The sequence below is a fragment of the Homo sapiens genome, chromosome 10, assembly GCF_000001405.40.
Source record: "Homo sapiens chromosome 10, GRCh38.p14 Primary Assembly".
In the NCBI taxonomy this organism is placed as follows: Eukaryota; Metazoa; Chordata; class Mammalia; order Primates; family Hominidae; genus Homo; species Homo sapiens.
This window is the reverse complement of record NC_000010.11, coordinates 101,249,940-101,266,017: the sequence shown is the minus strand read 5'-3', so window position 1 is coordinate 101,266,017 and position 16,078 is coordinate 101,249,940. Positions and strand designations below refer to the sequence as shown.

The 16,078-nt window shown below is 49.3% G+C and overlaps 1 long non-coding RNA gene across 1 annotated transcript, besides 2 other annotated features; it reads left to right on the top strand.

Moving 5' to 3' along the window:
* The first annotated feature begins 2,467 nt into the window (after nt 1-2,467).
* LINC02681 (long intergenic non-protein coding RNA 2681) lies at nt 2,468-13,197 on the top strand. Its single transcript, NR_120621.1, has 3 exons — nt 2,468-2,843; nt 5,053-5,151; nt 11,451-13,197. It is a non-coding gene; the product is annotated as a long intergenic non-protein coding RNA 2681 (long non-coding RNA).
* Nucleotides 4,881-5,668: an enhancer, noted in NCBI's record as "H3K27ac-H3K4me1 hESC enhancer chr10:103020107-103020894 (GRCh37/hg19 assembly coordinates)". NCBI's record gives its function as "activates a minimal SCP1, AML or CMV promoter by ChIP-STARR-seq in naive H9 embryonic stem cells {active_cell/tissue: H9 hESC(naive)}" and the evidence as "EXISTENCE:reporter gene assay evidence [ECO:0000049][PMID:30033119]".
* Nucleotides 7,520-7,720: a silencer, noted in NCBI's record as "peak1078 fragment used in MPRA reporter construct". NCBI's record gives its function as "represses an SCP1 promoter by STARR-seq MPRAs in K562 erythroleukemia cells {active_cell/tissue: K562}" and the evidence as "EXISTENCE:reporter gene assay evidence [ECO:0000049][PMID:32103011]".
* Nucleotides 13,198-16,078: the final 2,881 nt, after the last annotated feature.

Sequence of the window (16,078 nt, the reverse complement as noted above, 5' to 3'; positions counted from 1 at the left end):
ACGGAGCTTGCAGTGAGCCAAGATCGTGCCACTGCACTCCAGCCTGGGCGACAGAGCGAAGACTCCGTCTCAAAAAAAATAAAAATAATAAAAAAAGTAAATATAAAAAAGGCTGGGTGTGGTGGCTCACGCCTGTAATCCCAGCATTTTGGGAGGCTGAGGTGGGCAAATCACCTGAGGTCGAGAGTTCAAGACCAGCCTAACCAACATGGAGAAACCCTGTCTCTAGTTAAAAAAAAAAAAAAAATATATATATATATATATATATATATATACACACACACATATATATACACACACACACAAAAAAAATTAGCCAGGTGTGGTGGCACATGCCTGTGATTCCAGCTACTCGGGAGGCTAAGGTGGGAGAGTCGCTTGAACTGGGGAGGCAGAGGTTGTGGTGAGCCGAGATCATGCCATTGGACTCCAGCCTGAGCAACAAGAGTGAAACTCTATCTCAAAAAAAAAAAAAAAAAAGCAAACTATAGGATTATTTTTGCTCCATAAATGGGATCATTCTATACCTAGTGCTTTGTATCATATTTTTAATTTTCTCTAAAAATGTTCCTGTGTGATTAAAAGTTTGAATTTTTAGTGGGCATTAAGGTGCACAAGCTCCCCTCTCTTCCAACTGCAATTCCCTCTCCCCCGACAATCCCCCAGCTTTCAAGGGCTCCTAGTACCTGGTCTATGGAGCTGTAGCTGCATACTCTTCCAGGGGTTTGGGATCTCTTTGGGGGCAAGAGGAGGACCAGAGCCAGGCCACAGGGACTCTCAAACTCATGGTGGGGGCAGACCTTTTAGCTCTGACTGGAGCCTGCTGCACCCACTCCCCATACCCAGGCACAGAGAAATTGGAGAGATTCTTTGCTTTGGGTTCATCTTCCCACCCTAGTCATGCAAGAAATATTACCCTGTCTCCTTTCACCTCCCATTTTCCTTGGGAATTGGGTCTCCAGGGTTTCTGAGGCTGCCCAGTAGCTCCAGGCCACTTTGAGCAGCCTCAGCCATTCCCCACTACCTCCCCACTTCCCCTTGGCTCTGGCAGCCCTGGGCTTGAGCTGACTTTCCTGGGAACCATTGGTGGGAACAGTTAAATGGAAGGAAATGGTGGGTAGGGGTCAGAAGACAAAAGGGGACTTAGGGCTAATGTTTGATGTTTGAGGTTAAAGAAAAACTCTCACCCCTCCCCTTCTGGGGAGCTGCTGGGAGCCTTAGAATGGCCCCTGCAATGACACAGGGTGGGATGGGGAGGGAGAATTGGTAAGACCTGGAAAGAAAGGGGGCACAGCTTTGGTGCCTTGACTTGGTTAAGCAGAGACAAGGGGCCCTTCCCTTCAAAAGCTCCTCCCCTCCCAAGCCCCCTTCCCAGCCCCCAGGCCCCTGTCCTTACTGTGCATGTCCACCAGCCCAAAGCCTTTCCTGGAGTCATCTCCACATTGTGGATCCTTTGCACATCTGGCAGCTGAGAGAAATGTGCAAATCCCTTTCTTATTCCATGAGGAATCTCTAAGCTCAGACTCCAGAGGCAGGCCAGTGACAGTCGCCCATCCTTGTCGTCCAGTTTAACCTGACCCAGAGAAATAATGGGGCTTTGAGAGTTGTTCCCAGAGCTCCTTCCTTCACCCAATTCAGTAATAATTTTATCCATAGCTCATCTTGTGCAGTACTTTATTTTATTATTATTAGTTTTTGAGACAGGGTCTCACTCTGTCATCCAGGCTGGAGTGCAGTGGCATGATCTCAGCTCATTGCCAACCTCCACCTCCTGGGTTCAAGTGATTCTCCTGCCTCAGCCTCCCAAGTAGCTGGGATTATAGGCGCCCGCCACCATGCCCAGCTAATTTTTGTATTTTCAGTAGAGAAGGGGTTTTGCCATATTGGCCAGGCTGATCTCGAACTCCTGACCTCAGGTGATCTGCCAGCCTCAGCCTCCCAAAGTGCTGGGATTACAAGCGTGAGTCACCGTGCCCAGCCTTGTGCAGTATTTTAAACCGCGTGTTCACATGTATCTTCTGACTTGATCTGCTAACCTTGCTCTCAGGTAAGTAGAACTGGTCTTATTTTCCTTATTTTATAGCTGAGAAACTGAGGTCTGAAGTCTGAAGTCAGACTGTTGGTAATGTCAAAACGTGGATCCCCTGATCCTCAGACCCCAACCCCAGCCCTCCTGCCTCTATACTCAGCTCTCCTGGACACTGAGAGGTCAAGTTACCTCTGTCTGTGGTTTCCATACCTGCAGATTTCAGAGTGAGACAGCCTCTGGCTCTTCCAAATCTAAATGCTGCTGAAATCTCCACCCAGAAAAACCTTTCTGTCTCCAGACATCTCTGTCTTAATCCGTTCCCCTTGGTGGATCGTGGCTGGGAGGAGGGAGGAGGAGCTCTCGTTGTGAAGCCTCTCCTAATTGATTTCTCTCTGATGAGGTGACATAATCCTTTCTGGCTGCCCTTACAGCTTCTCCAGTTTCTTGAAACAGCTCCATATTCTTTCTTCTGGCCTCCCACATATTCCTTGGGCTAGAAATCTCTTTCTTGATTTTAATCTTGGCAGCCACCCTCCATGACAGCCTTAGGTCTGCACATTCATCGAGAGAGCCTTGCTTCCTTCCCAGCACCCTGCACACGGGTGTACATGGGTACACATACATGCACACACACATGCACACACATATGCACACACATGTACACACATGCACGCGCACACACACACACACATATACACACACGCATCCTTTGTTAGGAGTGAGTTTACTACTACATTCTGGCCTGTCTCCCACGTTCGAGTCAGGCGAAGGGGAACAGCAGCTTTGAAGATGAATTTAACCAGTTCTTCCTGAGGTGAGGCCTTTCTTGCCAGATCTATCAATGGCTTGTTGGGGGTCAAGGGAAGGTTCGAGGGCTGCTGTTTGTTCTTTGCTCAGTCTTGGGACAGCTCGGGGAAACAGGCTTGCCTGGGCAGTCCTGACCCCACGGCTAGGAAAGTCGACACCATTCTCCTAGACCACTGGCTGCCTTTTCCTTCAAGACCCCCAATCCCTTTGCCAAGCCCCTCACCAGGAGGAGAGCCCCAGAGACCAGGTGGGCTGAAGCAGAGGCCTGTGGCCCCAGACCCTCTGAGCCAAGCTGGGTCAGAACTCAGGCCTCCCACCCTATCATTCTTGTCCCCCACTTTCATCCAGCCTGCTCTGGGGGAGGGAAGAAGGAGATTGGCTGGGTGCAGTGCAGTGTTTCTGGGGACTGGGGGGGCAGGGGAGTCCATTCAAATTGACAAAAATAGAACATCAGCCTCATATCATTTTTCTCAAAACAAGATTTATTGAAGTTCTGTCGGTGAAAATCGCTGCTGTGTGGAACGCTTAACTTATAGATTAGATTACTCAGTCGTGCCTTACTACATTTTTCATTAGAAAAATATTGGCTGGGAGACTTTGACCTCATAATCTCTGCATTTTAAACAATAACCAGAGGAAAACCAAATAGAAGGCACAAGTTAACGGTTTTCTCCCCCCAGCATTTCCCCCTGGGAGAGATCGGAGCGAGGGCCTGGGAAGGGAACAGGAGTGGAATCTGCTGTGTGAGCAATTCCCCATCTCCCGGCCCAGTCCCCAGAGGCTGCGGGAGGCGGCTGGGGGTGACAGCAGGCGGTGGGCTGCCCTGAGTCCTTGGGGCTTGGGCCCTGCCAGATCCCTGCCTCAAGTGGTCCAGAGCTCTGCAGGGCCCCAGCCCAAGGTAGGTTAGCGTACATGAGGGGAGGAGGGGCTGAAGCATCAGGAGGGAGAGGGCATTTTTTCTGTCCCCCAGGGAGAGCTCAGTCTAGGTAGGGACACAGGAGCCATAAAGATTCGGGTGAGTGTATCATATCCTCACATTGTACCCTGTGAATATGCTCAATCTTTATTTGACAATTAAGTACTAAAAAAAAAAAAAAAGTAAAGACCCAGAAGAATCCAGAATCCCAGGGCAACTCCGGAGCTCTATAGGAAGCTGCAGGAGTGGAGAAGTGAGGACAGAACTACCCCTTGCTCCTCCACCAGAGGGGGAGAAGTCTCCTTACAGGGGGATTTTATGAAGGAAGGAGCAACTCCAAGGTGAGGCTGAGCTGGTGCAGTCTAGGCTGGCCTAGGGCATTCTGACCATTCCTCTCAGCCCAGGGGCAAAGGTACCTAAGGCACCCTAGGCCTGAAGCCCCCAGGCTGAGCCTGCAGGTGCTGGCTGCTGGCTCCAGGGAAGGGAAGGGGGCCATCCAGGTGCAAGCAGATCCCGGGCCACTTTACGACTGCTGATCTGATTCCTTGGAGAGTGGAACCCCCACCCCCTACTCGGTTTCTACTTTCCGAGGCTTTGGTGATTTCCAAGTTCTGACACAGTCATTAGTTACAAAGAGCAATTATTTTTTCTTTGTCATTAAGTCATTTTTTAAATGGCTCCAGGCGACATCACAGAACAAAGAAACAAAATATCCATGAAAAGGCTTAATCACAAATTACTAATTATTTAACCCCCCCCACAAATCGTGAAATCTGAACCCCATGAAAAAAGAGAAGGTCTCCCGTCCTTAAGCTCGCCATGGCTCTTAGGCACCTAATCCATCATGATGGGGGGGGGCACTTCCTGGCCCCCTCTGAGCCCCGGGGGAGGGGGTGGTAGGGAGTCCCCCATTGCTGACCTTTGAAGTCACCTTCTGCCCATAGATACAGCCCTTCAGCCAATGGGGGGGCAGCTTGAAAATGAGTGGGGTACCCAGCCAGAGCCCCCGTACCTTGGGCTTGCGATGCCTCCACCCCTCCTCCCAGGCCAGCAGCCTCTGGCCGCGGCATTCCACTCTGGGCCCTTTGAAGCCTTTGGGCCACAAGCGGAGGAGCCGCCCCCTGCCGTGGGGCTCCTAGAATCTCCAGCTGGAAAACAAACCGGAGGAGGAAGTAATCCTGGAGGGGAAGCTCCAGGGTCCCCAGACGTGAGGAAATAAAATGTGTTTGACACCAAGATATATGGGAGGAGGGGGGACGTCCGGGGTTTGGGCCCCTCTATCGGCCAGGCTTTCTCCTAGGGCGGATTGCGGTCTCCTTATCTGACCCTTGCTGAGAGAGAAGGAGCAGCGTGGAGGAGGCGGCAGTCAGGGAAGCCTTGTCTCAGTCCAAGAGCAAAGGTGAGTCTGCCAGGGCAGTGGGTTCTGAGGGAGGGCCGGCCTCCGAGGAAATGCCCACACTTGCCTCACCTTTCTGCCCACTACCTCCAGTTTCCCTAGAGCAGCCTATCCCGAGCTTGAGAGACCAGCAGTCATGGAGAGAAAGAGCCTGGGAGGATGGGATTGAAGGTTCAGAAGCGGGCCATGGAAAAGGAGGGGTAGGTGGGAGGGCATGGTGGAGCCCCAACCTCAAAACCCACATAATCTCTCCTCACAGCTCAACCTCGAACCTGACTTCAGAGAAAGCCCACTCCTCTTCATTCATCTGTTCAGCAAACTCTTACCAAACGCTTGTTCTGTGCCAGGCAACAGGAATACATTGGTGGACACGATAGAGCTAGGTCCTGTCTTCATGGAGATCAACTTTACTTGAGTATTTTTTTGTTGAGATCTGGGTCAAAGAGAAAGTCAGAGCTATGCCCAGTGTGTCTGTCCCAGCCTTTGCCCACTGTGGCTGTCTGGATAGTTGTCTTTGGCTGTTTTCTGACTCCCAAGTCACACTACTCTCTTAAGTACAGGTCTTGTAGGTCTCCTGGGTTCACTTCTGTGCCTGTCCTGGGCACCTGATAGAGAGGTGGGGAAGGTCAAAAGTGGAAGGAAGAAGGTAGGCAAGCAGGAGTTTAATAAACAGAACCTACTTAACAAATGGTTGGAGCCATTGTTTCTATATCACATGACCTATGAAGACCTTGAGTATAAACGTCCGAAGTACTGGAATCACAGGCGTTGTCCCAGCAAGAGAGCTTACAACTCAAACAATAGTCCCCAGCCATGCACCGTCCTCATTCTCCCTCTTTCATTTTCTTGTCAAACTGTCTCCTTTCTTCCCTCTCTTAAAATCATGCTGATCAAGGAACATCTGAAAATATGCTGGGACTTGGGCTGTCTTTATTTATTTATTTATTTATTTATTTATTTATTTATTTTTTAAGATGGAATCTCACTCTGTTGCCCAGGCTGGAGTGCAGTGGCGCGATCTCAGCTCACTATTCATTTATTTTTATTTTATTTTATTATTTTTTTTTTTTAGATGAAGTTTCACTCTGTTGCCTAGGCTGGAGTGCAATGGCACGATGTCGGGTCACTGCAACCTCCGCCTCCCGAGTTCAAGTGATTCTCCTGCTTCAGCCTTACACGTAGCTGGGATTACAGGTGTGCACCTCCATGCTTGGCTAATTTTTGTATTTTTAGTAGAGATGGGGTTTCACCATGTTGGCCAGGCTGGTCTCGAACGCCTGACCTCAGGTGATCTGCCCTCCTCAGCCTCCCAAAGTGCTGGGATTATAGGTGTGAGCCACTGTGCCTGGCCTATGTATGTATGTATGTATGTATTTATTTATTTATTTATTTATTTATTCTGAGATGGAGTCTTGCTCTGTCGCCCAGGCTGGAGTGCAGTGGCACAATCTTGGCTCACTGCAACCTCCTCCACCCCGGTTCAAGTGATTCTCCTGCCTCAGCCTCCCGAGTAGCTGTGATTACAAATGTGCACCACCACGCCCAGCTAATTTTTGTATTTTTAGCAGAGACAGGGTTTCACTATGTTGGCCAGGCTGGTCTCCAACTCCTGATCTCAAGTGATCCACCTGCCTAGGCCTCCCAAAGTGCTGGGATTACAGGTGTGAGCCACCGCACCTGGCCTATTTATTTACTTTTTTTGAGAGAGCCTCACTCTGTTGCCCAGGCTGGAGTGCAGCGGTGTGATTTTGGCTCACTGACACATCCGCCTCCCAGATTCAAGCGATTCTCCTGCTTTAGCCTCCCACTAGCTGGGACTACGGGCTCAAGCCACCACCACACCTGACTAATTTTTGTATTTTTAGTAGAGATAGGGTTTCTCCATGTTGCCCAGGCTGGTCTTCAACCCCTGACCTCAGGTGATCCACCCGCCTTGGCCTCCCAAATTGCTGGGATTACAGGTGTGAGCCATGGTGCCAGCCCAGGCCATCTCTACTAAAAATACAAAAATTAGCCAGGCATGGAGGCAGGTGCCTGTAATCCCAGTTACTCAGGAGGCCAAGGCAGGGAGAATAGTTTGAATCCAGGAGGCAGAGGTTGCAGTGAGCTGAGCTTGCACCACCGCACTCCAATCTGGGCGACAGAGCAAGACTATGTCTCGAAAATAAATAAATAAATAAATAAATAAATAAATAAATAAATAAATAAAAATAAATCTCTTTAAACGGAACAGGCTTTTTCTTGGAGATTATCTGCTCCATCCTCCTGCTGCCAGTGATGGCAGCCACTCCTCAGACCTGTAGTAGGTATGAGCCTTGGGTAATAGCCCTCCTGTCCCCCAGCAGCCATTCTCCCTTTCTTCTTTTAATAATAAAATCCCCAAGTGTTAGCTGGAGCATGGCCACCTGGTTTAGGACTACATTTCCCAGACTCCCTTGCAGCTAGGTGTGTTTGGGTAACCAGATTCCAGCCAATGAGATGCAAGCAGAAGTAATGTGTGCTTCTGGACTCTGCCCATATGAAGGAGTTGACACCCTTTTCTCCCCTTTTCACTGAGTGTAAATGGTTATAGAAACTAGAGCAGTCATCTTAGACCTCAAGATGGAAGCCATGTGTTGAGAATGGTGAAAGCATAGTAAAGAGAGACCCTGGAGCCCTGACATTGGAATGGAGCTGCCACATCTGCCCTGCAGCACTTCTGCTTAGATTTTATGGTAAAGAGAAACAAACTTATTAGGTGCTTAACTTACTATAATTTTGGAATTTGCTTTATTTCTTTCCTTTTGTTTCTCTGAGCAAACGAAAAGCAAATGAGCTAAGGCAGCACCATCCGATATAATGTGAACCACATATGTATTTAAAATCATCTAGTAGACAGCACCACTGCATTCCAGCCTGGGCGACAGAGCAAGAACTTGTCTCAAAAAAAAAAAAAAAAATCTTCTAGTAGACACATTTAAAAAAAAAATAAAAAGAAACAGGTGAAATTAATTTATATTACATTTAACTCCATATTTTCAAAATATTACTTCAGCATGTGAACAATATAAAAATTTATATTAAAGAGATAAAGAGGTCCAGGCTCAAAGGCTCACACCTGTAATCTCAGCACTTTGAGAGGCCAAGGTGGGAGGACCACTTGAACCCAGGATTTTGAAACCAGCCTGGGCAACATAGCAAGACCCCGTTTCTACAAAAATTTTAAAAATTAGCTGGGTGTGGTGGTACGTGCCTATAATCCCAGCTACTCAGGAGGCTGTGGTGGGAGGATCACTTGAGCCCAGGAGTTTGAGGCTGCAATGAGTTACAATTGCACCACTGCGCCCCAGCCTGGGCGATAGAGGAAGACCATGTCTCAAAAAAAAAAAACCAAAAAACAAAAAAACAAAAACAAACAGAAAGAAAAAAGAGAGATAAAGAGTTTACATTCTTTTTTTCATGCTAAGTCTTCAAAATCCAATGTATATCTTACACTCACATCTGAATTGGACTAGCTGCATTTCAAATGCGCAATAGCCACATTTGGCTAGTAGCCAGCGCAGATTAAGGGAATTGCCAGAGGTTGAAACCAATTAGAGATTGAGGACCAGCCATGAGTTAAGAATAATAGTTACAGTAACCACTGTTCCTACTGCTGCAAGGGCCTTTTGGCAGCATTATTCCTTTTCCAGCCAGATGCTTGGCATACACAGAGTGCTCTGGCTTCAGCCCACGAGGAACAACTATGCCTTAGTTTACTATATTGGACCCTGGAGAAGGACTATCTTAGGAAGCAAGTAGGCCCCTAGGAAGATGGAGAAACAAAAGGAAAAGCTAGGGTATGGGTTACCCTCCAATCTCCACTTTGGCTTCAGTCAGAATGGAGTGGACCAGGAAAAACAGTGCAGGTCTGATCACAGAGGTGTTATGTTCAGGGAGACCCAGGGTCATGACATATGCCTCCTGAGCTCCTCTAAAGGATCAGGCTTATCTCATATATTATGTGGCTTAAAGAAAGAACAATGATACCACATGAAGAGTCCATATTTACCAATGTAATATTTATCACCTTATCACTCCCTCATCTGGATAACAAGTCAACTTCTCCACAACCATCACAATCACCTCTTCACTTGTGACCATAATTATTGTCACTATCATTCACTGATACTGCCATCACCCCTAAAATGATTGTTTCTGTTACTCTAGCTTCAATATCACCATGTCCTTCCCCATAACAATAGTTATCATCCTTACTCCTTTTATCCCCTTGGCAACAACCATTAACCATGGCAACACTATGACCACTCATCACCCCATTCCTGCTATTACCATAATTACTGCAATCTCTGTCACTATCAATCTCACTACAACAACAACTTCCACCATCACCATAATAATGAAATTAGGCCCTGCAGCATCTCCACCAGCTCAGTATTGTAAGGACACCCCCAGATCCCTTTTTCCTGTCTAGAAGTCTCCGAGTATACCCAAAATTTCCATCTGGTCAAAATAAGCTCTTGAACCGCTTGTCCCCTTGCAGCCCCCTCACTCAATCATTCTTGCCTCAGGCTCAAGTTTGCATTGCTGTTTGACCTTTTAGATTCTGGACTCCTTGCCTATCCTGACCACAGTCCATTGAAATCTGCACTGTCTTTCTGCCTGCTTGGATGCTCTGGCTTTGGGGCCCTTAGTTGATAACTAACTTGTGGCCACTTAGCTGTAGGCATTCTGCCATCAGTTATAGATGCCTGCCTGGCTGGGCCTGGGGAGCTCAGCAGTGCCTTGCCCTCTCAGGGGGACTAATATCCTGCCAACAGTTTTTCTTGGATTTTTGCTGAGCACAAACAGGCTGGGTTTGTCTAGTTGATCCCTGAAGGCAGGTTGGTCCCTGAAGCCCAAAGGAAGCAAGGAAAGGGTATTTCCTGGCAGGACTTACCAATATAGAAAACCTGTCCTTGTTAGTATAGTGGTGAGTAATAAAAAAGAAAGAAGGCCAGGTGCGGTGGCTCATGCCTGTAATCCCAGCACTTTGGGAGGCCGAGGCGGGCGGATCACAAGGTCGGGAGTTCGAGACCAGCCTGGCCAACATAGTGAAACCCCGTCTCTGCAAAAAAATACAAAAGTTAGCCAGGCATGGTGGCACATGCCTGTAGTCCCAGCTACTCGGGAGGCTGAGGCAAGAGAATCGCTTGAACCTGAGAGGCGGAAGTTGTGGTGAGTCGAGATCATGCTACTGTACTCCAGCCTGGGCAACAGAATGAGACTCCATCTCAAATAAAAAAAAAAAAAGAGAGAGAAAGAGAGTAAAGGAAAAAAAAAATCCTGATGCATGGAAAGTGCCACAGGAAGGAGAAGAGGTTAGGGGCAGGAGATAAGCTCTGCTCCCCTCCTGGCTTGTCCAGTGGAGATCACAATGGTCTTGTTCTGGCTTATGTATTTTCCAGAAAGGTTATCCCCAGAAAGAATGGAGATACGTTGCTCTTTTGTGGAAGGTGTGCTATAGAGAGAGACCTGGATATCCCACATCTCTTCCACGGACAGTGAGATCTTGGGCTCTGAAGCATTTGGGGAGAGGGACCTCCTCCAAGGTTAGCGATGGTAGTGACCATGTTAGAGGCAGCAGGAACTGTCACCTCTCCCCACCCCTGGACTCTGGCCAAAGCCCCTCCAGTCACTCTCTTGTCCTCTCAGGGATGCATAGGCACCTATGTTTTCTGCAAGCAGTCAACTCCTCCAGTTACACATGGTTTGAGTCCCTGCATGGGGAGAGAAAGGACCCAGTATATGCATCTGGATTGAGTTCAGATCCCAAAGCGCATCTCTTGACCTGATCATGTAATCCAAAAGGAATTGCTCTCCAATCCCCAGATCTGAATAAATTTTACCAGAGTGCTATGGCATGGAGGGGTGAAGTAGGAAGAAGGGAACTGGATTCTTGTTTGATGTTTTGAGGCCAGATTCCTTCTCAATGCCTGGCACAAGGCTCTGCCCAAGGCAGAGACTATCTACAGACAAAATCGGGTTGGAGGCTCCCTGGCATGTGCACAAGGCTGCTTACACTTTGAGGACAGCCCAAATGCTCAGTAGTTACCCCCTACCTCACCTCCAATGCTGGGCAAACGGATGATGGAGTGACCCTGGGAGGTGGCCAGGTGGGAGGGAAACTAGTAGCTTCCGCTTGCCACCACCAGAAGACATAATGACCATAGACATACCAGTTAATAAGCACAACCTCTCCCCACTTCCATCACCAGAGAAAAGGGATACAGTCCTCCCTTTCCCCCTCTTCCTTTCATTCATTTGTTCCATTTTTAATTTAGTGACTACCGTGTGCTGAGCACTGGAGCTTGGTGACCCAAAGATGAATAAGACTCGACTCTTATCCTTAAGGAGCCTGCAGTCTGATCAAGTCATTACTGAGAAGAGAGGAAGGAAAAGATACCCTTGGCCTTTCCAACTTGTCAAGGGTCAACTGAATTCCTGAGCCGGTCCCCCTGAGAGGGCAGTGGGCGAGATTCCAGCAGGTAATGGATGAGCACAGCTATGCCCTGACAGGGACATTGCCTGCAATTGGTTCCAGTCATATATGGAGCCAAACTGCTTTGAAAATTGGGGGGGATGGTGACAGAAGAGAGCAGGCCCACCCCTCCCCCATCCCCTAGGAGCCTAGGGCCCTGTCTTGATCCCCCTTCTGGGAGATGAAACGTGTGGTTTCCCAAAGCTAGGAGCAGAGCAAATATCTTCTGCCTCGGAGGGGTTGGTCTCTGCACAGGCTGGGAACCCCCAGGGAAGCAGCACTGAGGGCCCTAGGAGAGAGGGCAGAGGCCAGAGGCAGGGTACTGCCTGCTCAGAAGGTCAGATTCCAGAGCAAACAGCAAGCTGTCTGCCTTTTCAGACTCTGAAAGGATGGGGGTAGGGGCAGGAAGGGAGGGTGAAAGTTTAGAGCCCCTGTGGGTAGGGAAGGGGCCTCTAGGGTCTGACAGGCACCCCCAGGACACTGTGTCTGCCCAAGTGTTTGCTGAGAAAGTGGAGGCCAGTGCAGCCACCGGTTGAGTGCAGCCACTGGGTCAGCGCAGCGGCCGGGTGAGTGCAGCCCTCGGATTTTGCCCCAATAACCAGAGTCCCATTAGCACAGTCTGAGCAGGGGGCCTGGCAGAGCACTTCGCCCTCCTCTGTCATTTAGCGGGGAAACAGTTCACACAGGGACAACTACCATCTTGAGTCTCTTCTGTCAACTGCCCTGTGGTCTCTCTGGCCACACTGGGACAGAGCATCACTCCAGTAAACCCTCTGAGCTCATTTCCCTAGCTGAGCAGGTTCCCGCCTCTGTTCCTAGAGCACCAGCATGAGTGAGCCTCAGGAACCACCCCAGATTTTAGGAGTTAGGAGTGGGTCTAGCTGTGCTGATGGCCACCTGGGGCTCTGGTGAACTCTAGCCTCCTCCCATCCGCCCATCGAGGGCATCGTCAGGCCTCTGTGCTGAGCCATTTGCCTCCTGCTCTGCCCCAAACCTGTTCAGCCCCCAACATTCTCACTTTCCTGTCCCCTTCATGCTTCTTAGGTCATTTCTCTCTGCTTCTGCAAACCTCCCTGCCAAATGTTCCCCCACCCCAAACCGACCCTTTTCATCTCTATGTCCCCCCGTGTACACCTCTCTCAAAATGCAGGGCCACGGGGCCCTCCTTCTTAGGGACTAGGCCATGCCTAGGGGTAGGGCTGCTGTGGCATTAGTGACAAAAACTGCTATGTCTACCCACGTAAATCACATAAATATACAAGCAGGGGCCAGGCGTGGTGGCTCATGCCTATAATCCCAACACTTTGGGAGGCTGAGGCGGGTGGATAACTTGAGGCCAGGAGTTCAAGACCAGCCTGGCCAACATAGTGAAACCCCGTCTCTACTAAAAATACAAAAATTAGCTGGGGGGGTGGTGGTGCACGCCTGTAATCCCAGCTACTCAGGAGGCTGAGGCAGGAGAATCGCTTGAACCCAGGAGGTAGAGGTTACAGTGAGCCGAGATCTTGCCATTGCACTCCAGCCTGGGCAACAGAGTGAGACTCTGTCTCAAAAAAAAAAAAAAAAAAAAGCAAAAATTAGCCTAGCATGGTGGTGCAGGCCAGCTACTTGGGAGGGTAAGGCTGGAGAATTGCTTGAACCCGAGAGGCAGAGGCTGCAGTGAGCTGAGATTGCGCCACTACACTCAAGCCTGGGCGACAGAGTCAGACCCTGTCTCAAAAAAAAAAAAAAAAAGAAGCCGGATTGGTGGCGTGAACCCCAGTGTGGAGCAAAAAAAAAGGGCTGGCCCTGGGACAGGCCTGAAGAACATGGACCGGGTTCTCTCCTGAGAAGTGCTGCCAAGGCCTGTCTAATCGCAGGTGCCTGTGGCCCAGCTACTATCCAAGTGTGTCCCTTCCAAATTCATGTGGAACCCTAATCTCCACTGTGGTGGTAATAAGAGGTGTGGCCTTTGGGAGGTGATTAAGACTCGAGGGCTCTGCCTTCATGAGTGGGATTACTATCCTTAGAAAAGAGGCTGAAGGGAGCTCTCTAGCCCTTCCCCCGACATAAGGATGCAGCAAGGAGACATCAGGCTGGGCGCGCTGGCTCATGCCTGTAATCCCAGCATTTTGGGAGGTGGAGGTGGGCAGATCACTTGAGGTCAGGAGTTCAAGACCAGCCTGGCCAAAATGGTGAAACCCTGTCTCTACTAAAAATACAAAAATCAGCTGGGTGTGGTGGTGCGTGCCTGTAGTCTCAGCTGCTTGGGAGGCTGAGACACATGAATCGCTTGAACCTGGGAGGTGGAGGTTGCAGTGAGCCGAGATCTTGCTACTGCACTCCAGCCTGGGTTACAGAGTGAGACTCCGTCTCAACACAAAAACAAAAACAAAAAAGAAGAAGACATCATCTTTGAAGCAAGACCTTACCAGACACTGAATCTCTTGGCGCCTTGATCTTAGACTTCCCAGACTCCAGAACTGTAAGAAATAAATTTCCAGGCTGGATGCGGTGGCTCATACCTATAATCCCAGCACTTTAGAAGTCAGAGGTTGTACACATAGCTTAAGCCCAGGAGTTTGAGATCAGCCTGGGCAGCCTGTATCTCAGAGAAACCCCGTCTCTTAAAAAAAAATACAAAAATGAGCCAGGCATGCTGGCATATACCTGTAGTCCCAGCTACTTAGGAGGCTGAGGTGGGAGGATGGCTTGGGCCTGGGAGGCAGAGGTTGCAGGTGAGCTGAGATTGCACCACTGCACTCTAGCCTGGGTGACAGAGCAAGACCGTGTCTTAAAAAACAACAACAACAACAACAGCAACAACAAGAACAAAACAAAAAAAATTCCCTTGTTTCTAAATTACCCAGTTTAAGCTATTTTGTTAAAGCAGCAGGAGCAGATGAAGCTGTCTTCATCTGCTCCTCCCAATTCCCAGAACTCTTCTCAGGACCTCAAACAGGCCTGGACAATGAATCAGGAGAACATCTAGGGTGGAGTGGGGAAGGATTTGACCCCTTGCTGTTTCTCCAGCCAGTAAACCCAATCTCACTGCTCCTGCCACTCTTGCCCAAACACAGTGCAAAGAGGGAGCTGGTCTCCTTCTCAAATGTCCTCCTGTCTCCAGGCCATGTCTGTCTGTAGCCTATCTGGGGCTGAGGGCTTAGCAAATAGGAGAGGAGCTGGGCACAGTGATTCATGTCTGTAATCCCAGCACTTTGGGAGCCCAAGGTGGGAGGATCACTTGTGTCCAGGAGTTAGAGACCAGTGTGGGCAACATAGTGAGACCATGTCTCTACAAAAAAGAAAAAAGGCCAGCCATGGCGGCTCACACCTGTAATCCCAGCAATTTGAGAGGCTGAGGCAGGCGGATCACCTGAGGTCAGGAGTTCAAGACCAGCCTGGCCAACATGGCGAAACCCTGCCTCTACTAAAAATAGAGATTAGCCGGTCATGGTGGCATGTGCCTGTAATCTCAGCTACTTGGGAGGGAAACCCTGTCTCTACTAAAAATACACAAATTAGCCGGACATGGTGGCGTGTGCCTGTAATCTCAGCTACTCGGGAGGCTGAGGCTGCAGAATCACTTGAACCCAGGTGGCGGAGGTTGCAGTGAGCTGAGATAGCTCCACTGTACTCCAGCCTGGGCTACAGAGCAAGACACCATCAAAAAAAAAAAAATAAAATAAAAAAACTAGCCTGGCATGGTGGCATGTGCCTGTGTTCCCAGCTATTCCGGGGCTGAGGTGGGAGGAGGGAGGATCACTTGAACCCAGTGGGCAGTGAGCCATGATTGTGCCACTGCATCCCAGCCTGGGCAACAGAGTGAGACTGTCTCAGGAAAAAAAAAAAAAAAAAAAAAAAAAGGGAAACAGGAGAGGGAGGTCTTCTGGGAATGACAATGACACTCACTCACAGGCACACACATCCAGCGAATGCACACGGACGCCCTGGCTCAGGTCCACACTTCTATATGCCTGTGCACTCACACTTGTATGTGTGCACCCTGTCTTATCCATTCAGTCATCCAACAAATATTCATGGAGCAACCGCTCTGCCCCAGGCACCGGGCTAGGAGCCGGTGTGACAACAATGAACGAGACAGACCTAGACCAGTGGTCCCAGCCTCCATGGAGCTTACAGCCTAGCAGGAGAGAGATACATATATTAAATGAATATTTACACAAAATTGTTAAAGACAGTCAAATCATAATAAGGGTCATGGTAGAGAAAATTTCACTGGACTCTAAGAGAGCAGGGGCTCCACACAGGGTCTTCACTTAGAGTTACGCAGGCTGCACCACACAAGAGGGCTCCAGGAGAGCATGACCAGTGTCTGTGTCTTTGTGACAGAAGGGGTGCCTCTTTTTAACTCTCTCAAAGCCATCTCCTGCGCTGGCGGTGTCCTGAGGTGGCGGTGGCTAGCTTAGTCTGGGGGTCAGTTTCACATCT